This window comes from Homo sapiens, chromosome 20 (assembly GCF_000001405.40).
Source record: "Homo sapiens chromosome 20, GRCh38.p14 Primary Assembly".
Lineage (NCBI taxonomy): Eukaryota > Metazoa > Chordata > Mammalia > Primates > Hominidae > Homo > Homo sapiens.
The window spans coordinates 48,484,756-48,498,064 of NC_000020.11; the positions used below are offsets into that span (position 1 = coordinate 48,484,756).

At 50.7% G+C, this 13,309-nt stretch overlaps 1 pseudogene, besides 4 other annotated features; it reads right to left on the minus strand.

Moving 5' to 3' along the window:
- Positions 3,955-4,084: an enhancer, noted in NCBI's record as "active region_18020". NCBI's record gives its function as "activates an Ori minimal core promoter by ATAC-STARR-seq in GM12878 lymphoblastoid cells {active_cell/tissue: GM12878}" and the evidence as "EXISTENCE:reporter gene assay evidence [ECO:0000049][PMID:35858748]".
- Positions 4,485-4,584: an enhancer, noted in NCBI's record as "active region_18021". NCBI's record gives its function as "activates an Ori minimal core promoter by ATAC-STARR-seq in GM12878 lymphoblastoid cells {active_cell/tissue: GM12878}" and the evidence as "EXISTENCE:reporter gene assay evidence [ECO:0000049][PMID:35858748]".
- Positions 4,595-4,795: a silencer, noted in NCBI's record as "peak4239 fragment used in MPRA reporter construct". NCBI's record gives its function as "represses an SCP1 promoter by STARR-seq MPRAs in K562 erythroleukemia cells {active_cell/tissue: K562}" and the evidence as "EXISTENCE:reporter gene assay evidence [ECO:0000049][PMID:32103011]".
- Positions 5,416-6,101: an enhancer, noted in NCBI's record as "H3K4me1 hESC enhancer chr20:47118417-47119102 (GRCh37/hg19 assembly coordinates)". NCBI's record gives its function as "activates a minimal SCP1, AML or CMV promoter by ChIP-STARR-seq in naive H9 embryonic stem cells {active_cell/tissue: H9 hESC(naive)}" and the evidence as "EXISTENCE:reporter gene assay evidence [ECO:0000049][PMID:30033119]".
- On the minus strand, positions 9,479-9,554 carry RNU7-144P (RNA, U7 small nuclear 144 pseudogene; annotated as a pseudogene).

Sequence of the window (13,309 nt, forward strand, 5' to 3'; positions counted from 1 at the left end):
GCCTCCTCAGTAGCTGGGACCACAGGCATGTGCCACCACATCTGGCTTTTTTTTTTTTTTAAGACATGAAGTCTCGCCACATTGCCCAGGCTGGTGGATTACAGGTGTCAGCCACCACACCTGGCTCCCTTCCCTATCTCACCTGACAGTGTCTCTACATCCCCATCTCTTACCACTCTCCCAATTTCTTAGATACTCTGTCCCCATCTCTGATCCTCCTGATCTCTGGCCTTTGCACTTGCTGTTCCTTCCACCTAGTGTGCTGTTCCCTCAAATCACCCATGGCAGCCCCTTCTTATCCTTCAGGACTCAGCCCACATGTCACCTCCTCAGAGAGGCCTTCCCAGACCACCCAAAATGAGACAGTAGCTCCACCCCCATGACTCTTTATCCCATCTCCCAATCTGTGTCCTTTATTGTATCTTTCACAGTCTGAATGATGTTTATGTGTTGACCTGCATGCTGTCCATCCTCATAGACTGGAACTTCCTGAGAGTGTCATGAGATCAGATGGCTCTTACGGCTCTTACTCACCGCTGTGTCCCAGACACCAGCACAGCAGCCTGTGTTTAAAGATGGTCTGTCAATATTTGTTAAGTGACTGGACAGATACGGAAGTGGACAGTTACACTGACAGTTTTTACAGGGGGACGTGTTGCTTTGTCTTCGACTTGTTCCATTGTTCTCGTATATAACGTGGGCCTGACCAGAAGGAGGTGCTGCTTGGACATGACAAAAAACTTTCACACAATCTGTTGGACAATAAACCACATAAGTACCCCTTCTCTATCCATTATTCTACACCTTTGTGGATACATCAATAGATTTCATGTGGGCTCAGGAATTTTGAAATATATATTTTAACAAATTGCTCATATAGACAGGGATCCTAAAATATAGACAGACATATAGATAGTCACCTGAGCCCTGCACACTCTACGCATGACTTTGCAATCCATCCTTTGAGGAAGTCTGCAGCAAAGACGGCCCTTCAGAGCTGTGATGAATCGAGTCAAGGGGCTGGACCTTTAGACCCCTGTGTTTACTACTAGTCTTTGGAGATGGAGGGACCCCAGGAAGGGTGACTGGGCAAAGCAGCTCCTGTCAGCCAGGGGCATTTTCTGGGGAGGGTCTCAGCTGTGAGCTCTCAGCAGGCAACCCCCTGGGCAGTGGGGCATGCATGCCTGCTCCTGAAAGGGGATGTGGGGGACACATCCCAGCATCTGCTCCAAGCCATGAATCTTTCTCACCAAGGCCATTGTGCAAAAGCTTCCTGACAGGCCTCCCTTCTTCCACTCTTGCTTTCCCTATTTTCCACACAGCAGCCAGAGGAAGCCTGTGAAACCCAGGTCAGGTCCTGTGCTTCCTCTGCTCAGAACTCTCCATGGTTTCCACATACTCAGAGTAAAACCCCGAGCTTCATGATAACCATGAGGCCCGCAGCTTCTGCCCCCAAGGCTTCTCTGACCTCACCTCCCGCTGCTCCTCTCCTCACTCGGCCGCAGCTGTGGCTCCCTCCCTGATTTTCCTGGAACATGCCAGCACACCTGTTGCTGGCTTTGTACTCACTATTCTTTTGCCTGGAAGGCTCCACCCTTGTCATCCTGGCCCACAGCCTCAGCTCCTCCGGTCTTTGCTCAAATGGTGGCTTCTCAGCGGGGTCTTCCCTGACCATCCTACTGAAAATCAACAACCACCCCCCATAGGGGGTTGAACAAGGGCCCCCCATACATGTCTACATTCAAACCCCTGGGACCTGTGTATATGTCCATTGCAAAGAGGTTTTGCTGATGTAATTAAGTAAAGGATCTTGAGATAGAAAGATGACTCTAGATGACCTGGCTGGGCCCAGTGTAATCACAGGGGTCCTTATAAGAGGGAGGCAGGAGAGTCTGAGTCAGAGGAGCTATAGTGACAGGGCAGAGACTGGAATCATGTGCTTGAATATGGAGGAAGGGGCCGCGAGCCCAGGAATACAAGGGGCTTAAAGGAAAACACAGGCCAGACCAGCACTTTGGGAGGCAGAGGCAGGTGGATCACTTGAGGTCAGGAGTTCGAGACCAGCCAGGCCAACATGGTGAAATACCATCTCTACTAACACAAAAAAAATTAGCCGGACATGGTGCACACACATGTAGTCCCAGCTACTTGGGAAGTTGAGGCAGAAGAATATCTTGAACCCAGGAGGCAGAGGCTGCAGTGAGCCAAGATTGGACCACTGCACTGCAGCCTGGGCAATAGAGTGAGATTCTGCCTCTAAAAAAAAGAAAGAGACAAAGAAAGATGGCAGGGCGGGGTGTTGGGGAGAGAGAGAGAGAGAGAGAAAAGAAGGAAGGAAGGAAGGAAGGAAGGACAGGAGGAAGGGAAAGGAAAGGAGAGGAGAGGAGAAAGAAGGAAAGAAAGAAAGAAAGAAAGAAAGAAAGAAAGAAAGAAAGAAAGAAAGAAAGAAAGAAAGAAAGAAAGAAAGAAAGAGAAAAAAGAAAGAAAGAAAGAAAGAAATAGAAAGAAAGAAAATACAGACACTGAAAACGCAAAGAATCCTGCCCTCAGCGCTTCTAGCAGGAGCCAGCCCTACTGACGCCTTGACTTAGCCCAGTAAAACCGACGGCAGACTCCTGACCTCCAGAGCTAGGACAGAGTCCATCTGTGCTGTTTGAAGCTATCAAGTTGGTGGTGATTTGTCACAGCAACCACAGGAAGCTAACACACCCTCCCACATACCTGGAGCTTCCTATCCCCAAGCCTGCTGAATGTCTCCCTGTAGCATGGATTAGCAGCTGACATGTGTACCTTTCACTGATTTGTTTCTCCTTCTCCACTTACTGAATGTCTGCTTCATAAAAGCAGGAATTTTGTTTGTTGCAAGATCCCCTGCACCTAGCACAGTGCCTGGCAGATAGCAAGTGCTCAGCAAACATCCTCTGCAATGCTGTACCTGAGTCCTGAGGAGGGAGGAGGAGCAGATACTGGGATGAGCCAGGGGACAGAGCTCCCGGCAGAGGCAGAAGCAAGGGTAGAGTCTGAGTCACAACCAATCCCATCCTTCTAGATGGCTGCTGTAGGACCCATGGATAAACTTCCTCCTAGCCCTGCCTCCACAGAGAAGTCCCTTCAACTGAAGCCATGGAAGCTGGAAACTCACTTAAGAGCCCCTACAGTGAGAGATTAAGAGCATAGGCCCTGAAGCCAGGCTGCCTAGGTTCAAATCTCAGCTCTGCCACTCAGTAGCTGAGTGACTCTGGGCTAGTTAATTAACCTCTCTGTGCTAATTTCCACATCTACAGAATAAGGATAATGATAGTGCCCATCTCATAGGGCTATTGTGAGGATTGAAATAGCTAATGCATTTAGCACAGTGCCTGACACACAGTACACATGATCTGCTCTTCCTATTTGGGTGGAAAAGTCCAGCAAGTTGCAAAGATTGCTAAAAAGCAATGAGAGTATACCAAGGTGTCTAAACTGACAAGCAAAGGGTATGATTAAAAGACAAGCCAGGTTGGCAGCAGAACATCAGCTTTCTTTGTGCCTGGGCCATAGACAAGGAATTGAAAGGTAGCCTGGCAACGATTCGAGAAAAATTAATCACCCCTGCTGCCTTCCTGCCCCTGCCCATCCCATTTAACCTGCACTCTCCCGCCCCCTGCCCTATCCCTAAAGGGATCCTGGAGCCTCCTGTTGCACAGGCCGGGCTGTGACATTCACAACACACCCCAGCTGGGCCCAGCGAGTTGTTTTCCAGCCCCATCTGCCCAGACACAGCCCCGTGAAGAGAGGGCCAAATGCACAGCCAGGGCTGTGTTGACTGCAGAAGGGATAGAAGAAAATAGATGGGGTGGGGTCTGCACAGTGAGGGTTGGTGCATCATGTGGGTCTCACATGTAGCTTCCCTCCAACAAGCCCCCTGCAATCCCCACCAGATGTAAGGAGGGAGGGGTGAAAGTGGGGTTTCCGCCAGAGGTAGCAGAGCTGGGGAGGGGCCCAGGCTGCAGGGACCTGTGTACAGGGCATGAGATGTCATTGGGGACTTCCTACATGAGACGCAGTGAGTCATCAGGGTGCAGGGTGGAGGCTCTGAAGGAAGAGCCCAGGGGAATATGGGAAAGAGGTGACATGAGAATCCATTAGCCACCACCCCAGTCCTTCACATGAGAACTCATCAGCCACCACCCCAATCCTTCCCTCCTCTGTTCAGGAGCAGGGCCGGGGCCCAGGAGACAGGGTGAGCTTTCTGCAGGAGGGACACCCGCCCTGAGAGGAACCTGGGCTGTCATAGCCGCACAGACACTGCAAGCCAGGAGCAGTGGCCACACCCGTGGAGCAGAGGAATCAGAAGGGGGCAGAAACAGAGGCTTGTCACCTGAGGGCTGTGAGCATGTGTTTGCCGTGACCAAGGGGAGACAAAGCAAGTGACAGAGATGCCTTCTCGTCTGCGGGGATTCCCTCTGCAGGTCTCCAGGGACAGTGGGTCTGAGGGGCAGGAACGGTGGGGGGGCTATCACAGGTGCCGCATCAGGATGTCCCCTTCTGCCCTGAGCAGCGGGCAGTCCCCTCGAAGATGCCACGTCATCAGCCTCTGGCCCGAGGGCTTCCCAGAGCCTCCCTTTCTCCGTTTTGGGTGACTTGGGCAGGCACTGGCGTCTACATCTGTGTACTCTTGGCCCCTAGTGGGTGTGACCTGGGCCCTCCCATCAGACACACTTCAATCTCATCCCACACAGCCCAGGGCCAGGCCTTGGCACCTCATGCACAGACTCAGACAACGCACCTGCGATCCGGGCGCTGAGACTCTGCACGTGGCCTCATCCCAGTGTCTCAGAGGGAAATGAGGCTTGAATTTCTCCTGGCACACTGGACACCCCGCATCTCACGGTGCTGCATAAGAGGATGCTTGGCCCTGCATCCTCCCTACAATAACCATCATTTAATAAGGCCAGAAGTGGAGAAGGCGAGGCTGATGGGGCCGCCATGTGTTCAAAAGCAGCCCCCACCCACGCACAAGCAGCCCTCAGAGGCGTCCAGGCAGCTCCAACCAGCAGATAACAGGCACCAGAATGTGCAGAGCCAGCCCAGATCACAGCCTGGATCTCAATTTGCAAGAAAGAACTTGCCAGGTTGAGCAGCTGCCACGAGTCCGGATGGCTTGGCATTTTCTCCTGGAGGCTGTTCTGAGAGCCAGACCGGGGGTGGGGGCCCCTTGGCCACTATGGGTCCCTGCAGTCTGCACCGAGCTTGGAGTCACCAGGCTGATTTCATGGATGTTTATGGAGCCTGCAGGAGACCATAGCTTAGTGTGTCCCCTGCTAATTAAAGGACAGCAGCCAGTTGTTCCCTGTCAGAGATTACAAAGGATGAATGCTTTGGACCCAGGGAGCGGATGGGAGCATATCAGATGCCAAAACCTGGTGCCTGCCACCTGGCATTCTTTGGAAGTGACTCTTTGAGGAGCACTGACCATTATCGGGGAGATGGGTATTGGGGAGCCTCCCTCTCAGCTCTGGGGGCTCAACTCTGCCCACATAGGGCAGGAGGACGATGTCCTGAAGCTGTGCCTGTCCTTGCCCAAGGAGGGTTGGGGGCTTTGCAGGGGGGTATGTGAATGCCTGCAGGCCTGGGGATCAGGGGACCTGTGCAGGGCTGGAAGAGGGGTTCTCAGCCACAGGACAGCCCTGCTTCAGCCAGTGAAGCCATGTGTGGAAATACAGCTCAGCATTGCTCAACCTTCCAGCAGCCAGGACACCCTGGGTTTGAGTCCCTGCTACGGATAAAAGAACCGAATCCGACCATTTGTCTTCAGCCATTCTCAGCCTCTGCCTCTCTCCCCAGCCCCTCCACCCGCCATGTTCAAGGAAGGCAGAGCCCAGAACCTGTTGTGTGGGGCCTTGGGCTTTCCACGGCCTGATCAGTGCTAGTCTCTGGGGAGCACTTTGGGGGACACATTCAGATTCTCTCGAATGCCTCATACCCGGACTGCAATCCCCCATTCCACCAGTGATTTCAGTACCGTGTGGGAAATTTCATCAAATTTGCAAGTGTGTTGTTTCTCCTTTTACCCCCATTCTATCTGTGAGATGCTCTAGAATTCACCAGATGTAATATATCTTTGGGATGAATATTCTATGTTAAGTCCTTTGAAAGCAATCAACAACTGTAATCCAATTACTATTGGCTGTATCTTTCATGCTCTTTTGCCCCAAACCTCATCCTACCTGTGTGCCAAGCTCACCACATACACACACAGACACACACATACTCCACAAGAGATGCCAATTTTGTGCCTCGCTGCCTCACATAACATGGGAGCATTGAGTAGTGAACAGCTGATCTGCATGAATTAACGTGTGAGGTCATGTGGGCCCTGAAGCTTTCACACTCACAAACCGGCGTCAGGCTGGGCTGTCATAGAGATCAGGTGGAGGGACACTAGGGTTCCCCCCAGGACTCCAGGCCTCCTCTGATGAGCAGGTCACATGGGGATTTAGAGGGAGGCACAGGCACGAACTGCGTATTAAATACACCTGACTCACTGTGTCTGTGAGTGTGTGGGCGTGTGTGGGTGTGGGAGAGTGCATGTAGGAGTGAGCATGTGTGTGAGTGTACATATAAGTGTGTCTATGTGTGTGCATATGAGTGTGTCTGTGTGTGTATGTACGAGTGTACATATGTGCGTGGGCATGTGTTTGTACACATGTGCATGTGTGTATATGTATGATGAGCAAATGGATGCATGAGTGTGTGTGGGCATGTGTATCTGTGTGTGTATATGTGTAAGCATGTTAGTTTGCATGCACAGGTGTCCAGGTCCCACATGGGATGAAAATTGAATAGCTCTAAAGATCTACTGGACACATTTCAGATCCTAACAGAGCTCTTAAGCTTGAAAGGGTCACTGAATGCACAATGAGTGTTTCTGAGTCCAGGTGGCACTGACTCAGCAATGCAGGAAAGCAGCTCCTGGAGTTCCAGGAATGACCCCCACTTTCTCTCCCTCCCAGTCACAGACCCCTCCCCACGTCCCTTCCTCTCCCTCTGTTTGCCTTCTGTGCCTCTCCCTTTCCCAGTCTCATTTCTTGCATGTTCATCACTTCTTCGTCCTGCAGTTCAATTCCCCTCCACCCCTCAGCATGGACTGTGGGATGAGAGAGCCACAGCCTTATCCCTGACGTAACCAAAACTCTTGGCACCAGCTTAGACCTGTTTCTCAGTCTTATAAACGGTCTCAAATCAGGGAAATGTAAGGTTCTGAGGAAAATGATCACAACTAGGTGATTCCCCTCTGTGTTACCGTAAGGCGGTGAGACAGAGATTCTCTAATGTTTTTAGTGCAACCCACCGTAAGAAACCCATTGCAAACTGCCACCCAGCACACACACGCACATCCATTTATACAGAAACGCAGCACGTTTCCCCAAACGGCACTCACCCTCGCTGCACACAACGCACTCTGATGCCTCCTGACCTAGTCTATTCTGGTCTATTGCAGATTTTCAATGCCGGGCTTGACACTCTAAATTGATTTCAAGACCCACTAATGCATCACAGCCTGTGACTTGATAAACTCCACGCTAAGACACATCCCGTTGTGAGGTGTTCGACCCAAAGGCCATTTATCCTGCAGTGAGCAGGGGGACAGGATTCACCCTGAGGCGCGCCTCCTCCTTCTCAGTCAGGCAGGGAGGAGGGGGCTCTGTGCCATGGGACCTGCAGAGGTCCTGGTCTCAGGGTTAGTGCCCTGTGGCTGCTGTGTGTCCAGCAGCTGGCAGGGCAGGAAGATTGGGGGTGGGGGTGTCACTCCCACAGGCACACAGCACCCGGCAGAACCCTGGCCTGAAGCTGCTTAGGCCTGTGGCCTCTTGAGCCCACCTGGGAGCAGGCCCTGGGGGACAGCTGTTGGGGGCAGGGACTCCCAATGCACGGAACAGGCCATGAGCTGGGCAAGCTGCTCCTTCCCATAACCTCAGACCCTTCTTCTCACCCACCTAGGACCAGCTCCTGGGAGCTTGCGGACAATCCTGGGCCCAGAGAAGCAGGCAGATGCGGCTGTTGGTAGCACTAATATGGGTTGTGAATATCATCCTGTGGTTATTACTTTACTTAAGTTACACGCCAGTACACTCGATCCTGCACGTGTCCCCTCACTTCACGCTCATGGGGTTTGCACGATGGGAGGAGCGCTCCCAGCAGGTGATGAGGGTGATAAATGGCACTGGACATTCCTGGAGCACCTGTTGGCACCCAGGGCGGGGCTTAGTGCTCCATTTGAGTCTGGAGTCTTTACTCTGCCATAGCAGCTGTGTGACCCCCGGTAAGCGGTTTAACCTTTCTGTGCCTCTTCTTTCTCAACTCTAAAGGTGGATAATAAAGTCCCTGCCCTCAAGCAATCAAAGGTGTGTTAGAAGGGCTTGGCACATGGCAGGCAGACAGTATACATGGTTGGGATTAACCCCACTATACAGATGAGGAAACTGAGGCTCAGAGGCACTGGCCTGGCAGGCAGTGGGACCTGCACCCAGGCTCGTCTGACACTGAGCTCTTTGGCCTCCCTCCTTTACTGCTGCCTTCAGAAGAGACAGAGGAGAGGGCCACCCCCTCACACGCACACAGGGGCTGACCATCCAAGGACCCCAATCACCTGGCTGCGAGCAGCCCTGCTCCCACGGGGACACTGACCGCTCCGAGTGCCCGGCATTCAGGCCTCGAGCCACCCACTCTGCACTGCACGGGGCCTCCTTGGAACGCGTCCCTCCCCAGGGGCCGTTTCTCTGTGGGATGGCGCTGCTCTGTGGGGAGGACCCCACCTCCCTCCTTCATGACGACCTGCCCTTACCTGGCTCGTCTCTTGGCAGACGCTGTCCCACGCATCTCTGTCATTTGCATGCCACCGTGGTGACAGTCTTCCTGGCCACGGGTGTGACAGGGCCTTTTAGTTTCTGACTGACACAGTCACAGCCCCATTTCACCTGATTCCACTTACAAAGGCAGGTTTCCCTTCCCAGCCTCACATGGAGGTGGTCTCCGTGGAGTTCAAGAGGATGTGGGCTGGGAGGAGGGGCAGCAAAGAACCCCAGCCCACCCCAAGCAGGAGGTGGCAGAGTCCATCCGGCCGTCTGGAGATAGCCGAGACCCTTGGCCACTGCAGTTCCCCCCACTGAGCCTGCCCCCATCCCCACTCCACACTGGAACAGATGCTGGAGGGGCAAACCCCAAATACCCTCCCTAACCAGAAACCAAACTACCGAAATCCACCAGATCCCAGCCCACCGTGGCCAGATAGTCTGACTTTCCAACGAAGTCGAAAATACAGATTTTTAGAATTAAAATGCAAATGTTGGCAACTAGTTCAAATTAATTTTTTTTTTTCATGGAGGCTTTCTGGTGAAAACCTGACCCCACCTGGGAGCAGGCCCCGGGGGGAAAAGCTGTGGGAGATAGGAACCCCCCCACCAAGTGCAAAGAACAGGCCACGAGCTGGGCACAGATGCCTCTTCCCCAGCCTACCTGGGAGTGACAACCGGAAAACGTGCTAGACAAATTCTGAAAGAGCTGTAACACCTTACATTATTTTAAAAGTCCCCAGGTTGAGTTAATCCCAGACCCTTTACAGCTTTTTCCTTCTGATTGGTGAGGCCTCAGCTCAAATGTCACCTCCTCAGAGAAGCCCTCCCCCTTGGCCCTATTTAAGTAGCCCCCACCAGAGCCTCAGTCAGCGACACGCACCCTTCATTTCCTTCTTGGCGCTGACCCCTACCTGCAAGTGCCTCGTCATTTGCGGTTGGCATCTGCACTGTCCGTCTCCACCAGCACTTAGGCTCCGTGAGGACAGACGCACGTCGCCTTGTGCCCTGGTGAATCCCAAATCCCTGCCCTGAGCGCAGTGCCTGGCACAGAACAGACACAGGCAATGAGTGCTGCTGAAAGTTCCCCATGGAGCCAGTGGTGATCTGTCCAGGCTCTACAGCCCTCCCGCTAAACGTGTTCAGAGACGGGGACGCTGGGGCCATCCTCCTTGCTCCACTCCTGGTGAAGAGCCCTCAGACCCATAAGATGGGCTTGTCCATATCACCTTCTCAGGTGAGCCTCATACATAAGCAGGTTCAGTGGGTTAACCAAGCCTACATCTTTAACCCACGTGATAACCACAGTACCAGGTTTCTGCCATCAAATCTTTTCTATCCTCAGTCCTGCCTTGGGAATTCAGACTCACCCAGAATTCAGAGTTTCACAGACTCAGAAGAGAATGTGATGCTAGATTGTTCTGAAATGTTTGGTTTTAAAGCAAGATCAAATGATTACATTTGTGATCTGAAATCATTTGATTGTATCAAGCCATATCCCCTTCCAAATTATTTTCTTTAAATTCTCCCCAGAACGGGGAACAGTATTAATTGTTTCCAATGAAAAGACTGCCCCTTTCATCAAAGCCATGAGCTTTATCTGCTGTTTTTGAATATAACGCTGACTTAGTAAAAGTGATTGTAAATAGCAGGTCTTCTTTGTGCATTTTGTGCTTCCAAATGTGCTAGTTGGAATAAAGAAGTGAAAAGTTTAAAAATCCTCTCTTGTAAATGTTTGGAAATTGCACTAGAGTTATTTCTTGCTCTTTGAGGGGAGAGGTCACCCTGCAAATGTACAGTCACACCTGTTCGGCTCCCCCGGGTTTTGAATGTCACTAAACCCCCACTTCCCCCCACCTTGGCAGATCAGACTCTGTGAAGGACGCTCACTGTCTGTGCGACCTCACACCAGGTACAGGGACCAGGGGAAAGAGGCAAGTCTGGCTTGTGGGACAGTCCTGCAAGGCCACTTTTCTGGTAGGGAGGTGACACCTGCAAAGGAACCTCTCATTTCTCCCAGCTCCAGCCAGTTTCAACAACAGGTGGGGTTTTCTTTCCTCTCAATTATTATAGATTTCTTTTCTAATAATCAAAGTCATGATTCATTTTGAAAGTTTTTAAAAATAGAAGAAAACAAGATTTTAAATCACGCGTGATTGATTCCAACACCAAAGATAAGCAGTATTCGCATTTTGCTATGGAGTGCTCCTGTTAGACATACACACACATATGATCACACTTACACACTTATGCATTTTTGCTTCATTAAAATAGAATAAAGCTTTATGGGCCAGGTGCAGTGGTTCATGCCTGTAATCACAGCATTTTGGCAGCCAAGACAGGCGGATCACTGAAGGTCAGGAGTTTGAGACCAGCTTGGACAACATGGTGAAACCCCAGCTCTACTAAAAATACAAAAAATAGCTGGATGTGGTGCATGTGCCTGTAATCTCAGCTACTCGGAAGGCTGAGGCAGGAGAATTGTTTGAACCCAGGAGGCGGAGGGTGCAGTGAGCCGAGATCTCACCATTGCACTCCAGCCTGCATAACAGAGTGAGACTCTGTCTCAAAAAAAAAAAAAAAAGAAGAGCTTTGTTTACACTAAACAATATTTTGTGTCCATATTTACACATAGATAACAACAGATCACTATCATTTTTGGTATGGGCATATGTAGATATAAGTATTACATGAATTTCCTACTTTTTATCCAGTTATGGTTATATCACCTATCAGTGATTTAACTTCAGCCAAGACAGAAGTTTATCTCATAATAACCAAGACTGGGCCGGGCACAGAGGCTCACGCCTGTAATCCCAGCACTTTGCGAGGCTGAGGTGAGTGTTTCACTTGAGGTCATGAGTTCGACACTAGCCTGCTCAACGTGGTGAAACCCTGTCTCTACTAAAAATTTAAAAAATTAGCTGAATATGGTGGCACGCACCTGTAATCCCAGCTATTCGGGAGGCTGAGGCATGAGAATCACTTGAATCCAGGAAGCGGAAGTTGCAGTGAGCTGAGATCACGCCATTGCATTCCAGCCTGGGCAACAGGACAAGACTCTGTCTCAAAAAATAAAAAAGTAAAAACAAAACTGGAGGTTGTCAGTCTAGGGTGGCGTTAGGGACTTTCATTTCCTTCCAGAGGACATTCTGCTATCCACAGGGTAGAAGCCTAATCCTCAAGGTTCAAGGTGACAAGAATAGCTCCAACCATCATACGCTTATTCCAGGAAGCAGGTCAAAGGATGGAACAACTAAGAAATGACATTAAAGATATGTGTCAGTCCATCTGCGTTGCTATAAAGGAATACCTGAGGCTGGTTATTTATAGAAGAGAGGTTTAATTGGCTCACAGTTCTGCAGGCTGTACAAGCATGGCACCAGCATCTGCTCCTGGGGAGGCCTCAGGAAGCTTCCAATCATGGCAGAAGGTGAAAGGGAAGCAGGTACATCACATGGTGAGAGAAAGAGCAAGAGAGGGAGGAGGATGTGCCAACCCCTTTAAACAACCAGATCTCCCATAAACTCAGAGCAAGAATTCAGTCATTGCCATCGGGACGGCACCAAGCCATTGTCAAAGGGATCTGCCCACATCACCAAAACACCTCCCACCAGGCCCCACCTCCAACATCAGGGATCACATTTCAACATGAGATTTGGAGGGGACCAACATCCAAACCATAACAAGACAGAAGTTATAGAAAGGGGTCTCCAAAAATACCACCCAACACTTTTATTGCCTCCCATTGGCCAGAACCTGGTCACATGGCCACAACTCACTGCAAGGAAGCCTGGGAAAATGTAGCCTGTGCCCACCCACCAGGAGAGGGGAGCACTTTTGCCAGGGTGCGGGACCACCAGCGGGCATTTATGCTTCCTACTTCTTTCTTCTTATAAAAATCCTTGAGATTCATCTTTGCATGTTTTTCTGACTATTTCCTAGGGATCAATGCCTATAAATGAAATTTGGGACCAAAAGTTACGCACTTTCATTGGCCAGTTGCAAAATTGCCCTCTAGAAAAGTTGTACCAACGAACTCACCCAAGAGGTGGGGTTCTATTTCATGAAATGTTTCTCCACCCCACATTTCCTTTTAATCCACACCCTTTGGCCTTTATTAGGCTTAGACATCTCTTCAGAATCCCTGCTTCCTACAACATAATCTTGGGATTTAATACATGTTTTTCATTCAGGTTATTATTAATATCAGATTTATCTAACTATGCGTGAACCCAGCCACAGCCTTAGGGAAAGAGATGTATCTTTCAGTGCTGAAGAGAATAAAAATTAATAATCATCAGAGACTTTGAAACTGAAGTGGGCAGGGCAGGGTGGAAAGAACAGATCTCATTCTACGAAGTGCATGGAGGGATATTCACAGAGCATGTAGTGCTGAGTACAGCGGCCCAGGCACCTGGGGACACCCAGAGAGCAGCCTTTCCTCAACAGAAAAGGAGTGAGCACCACAGAGA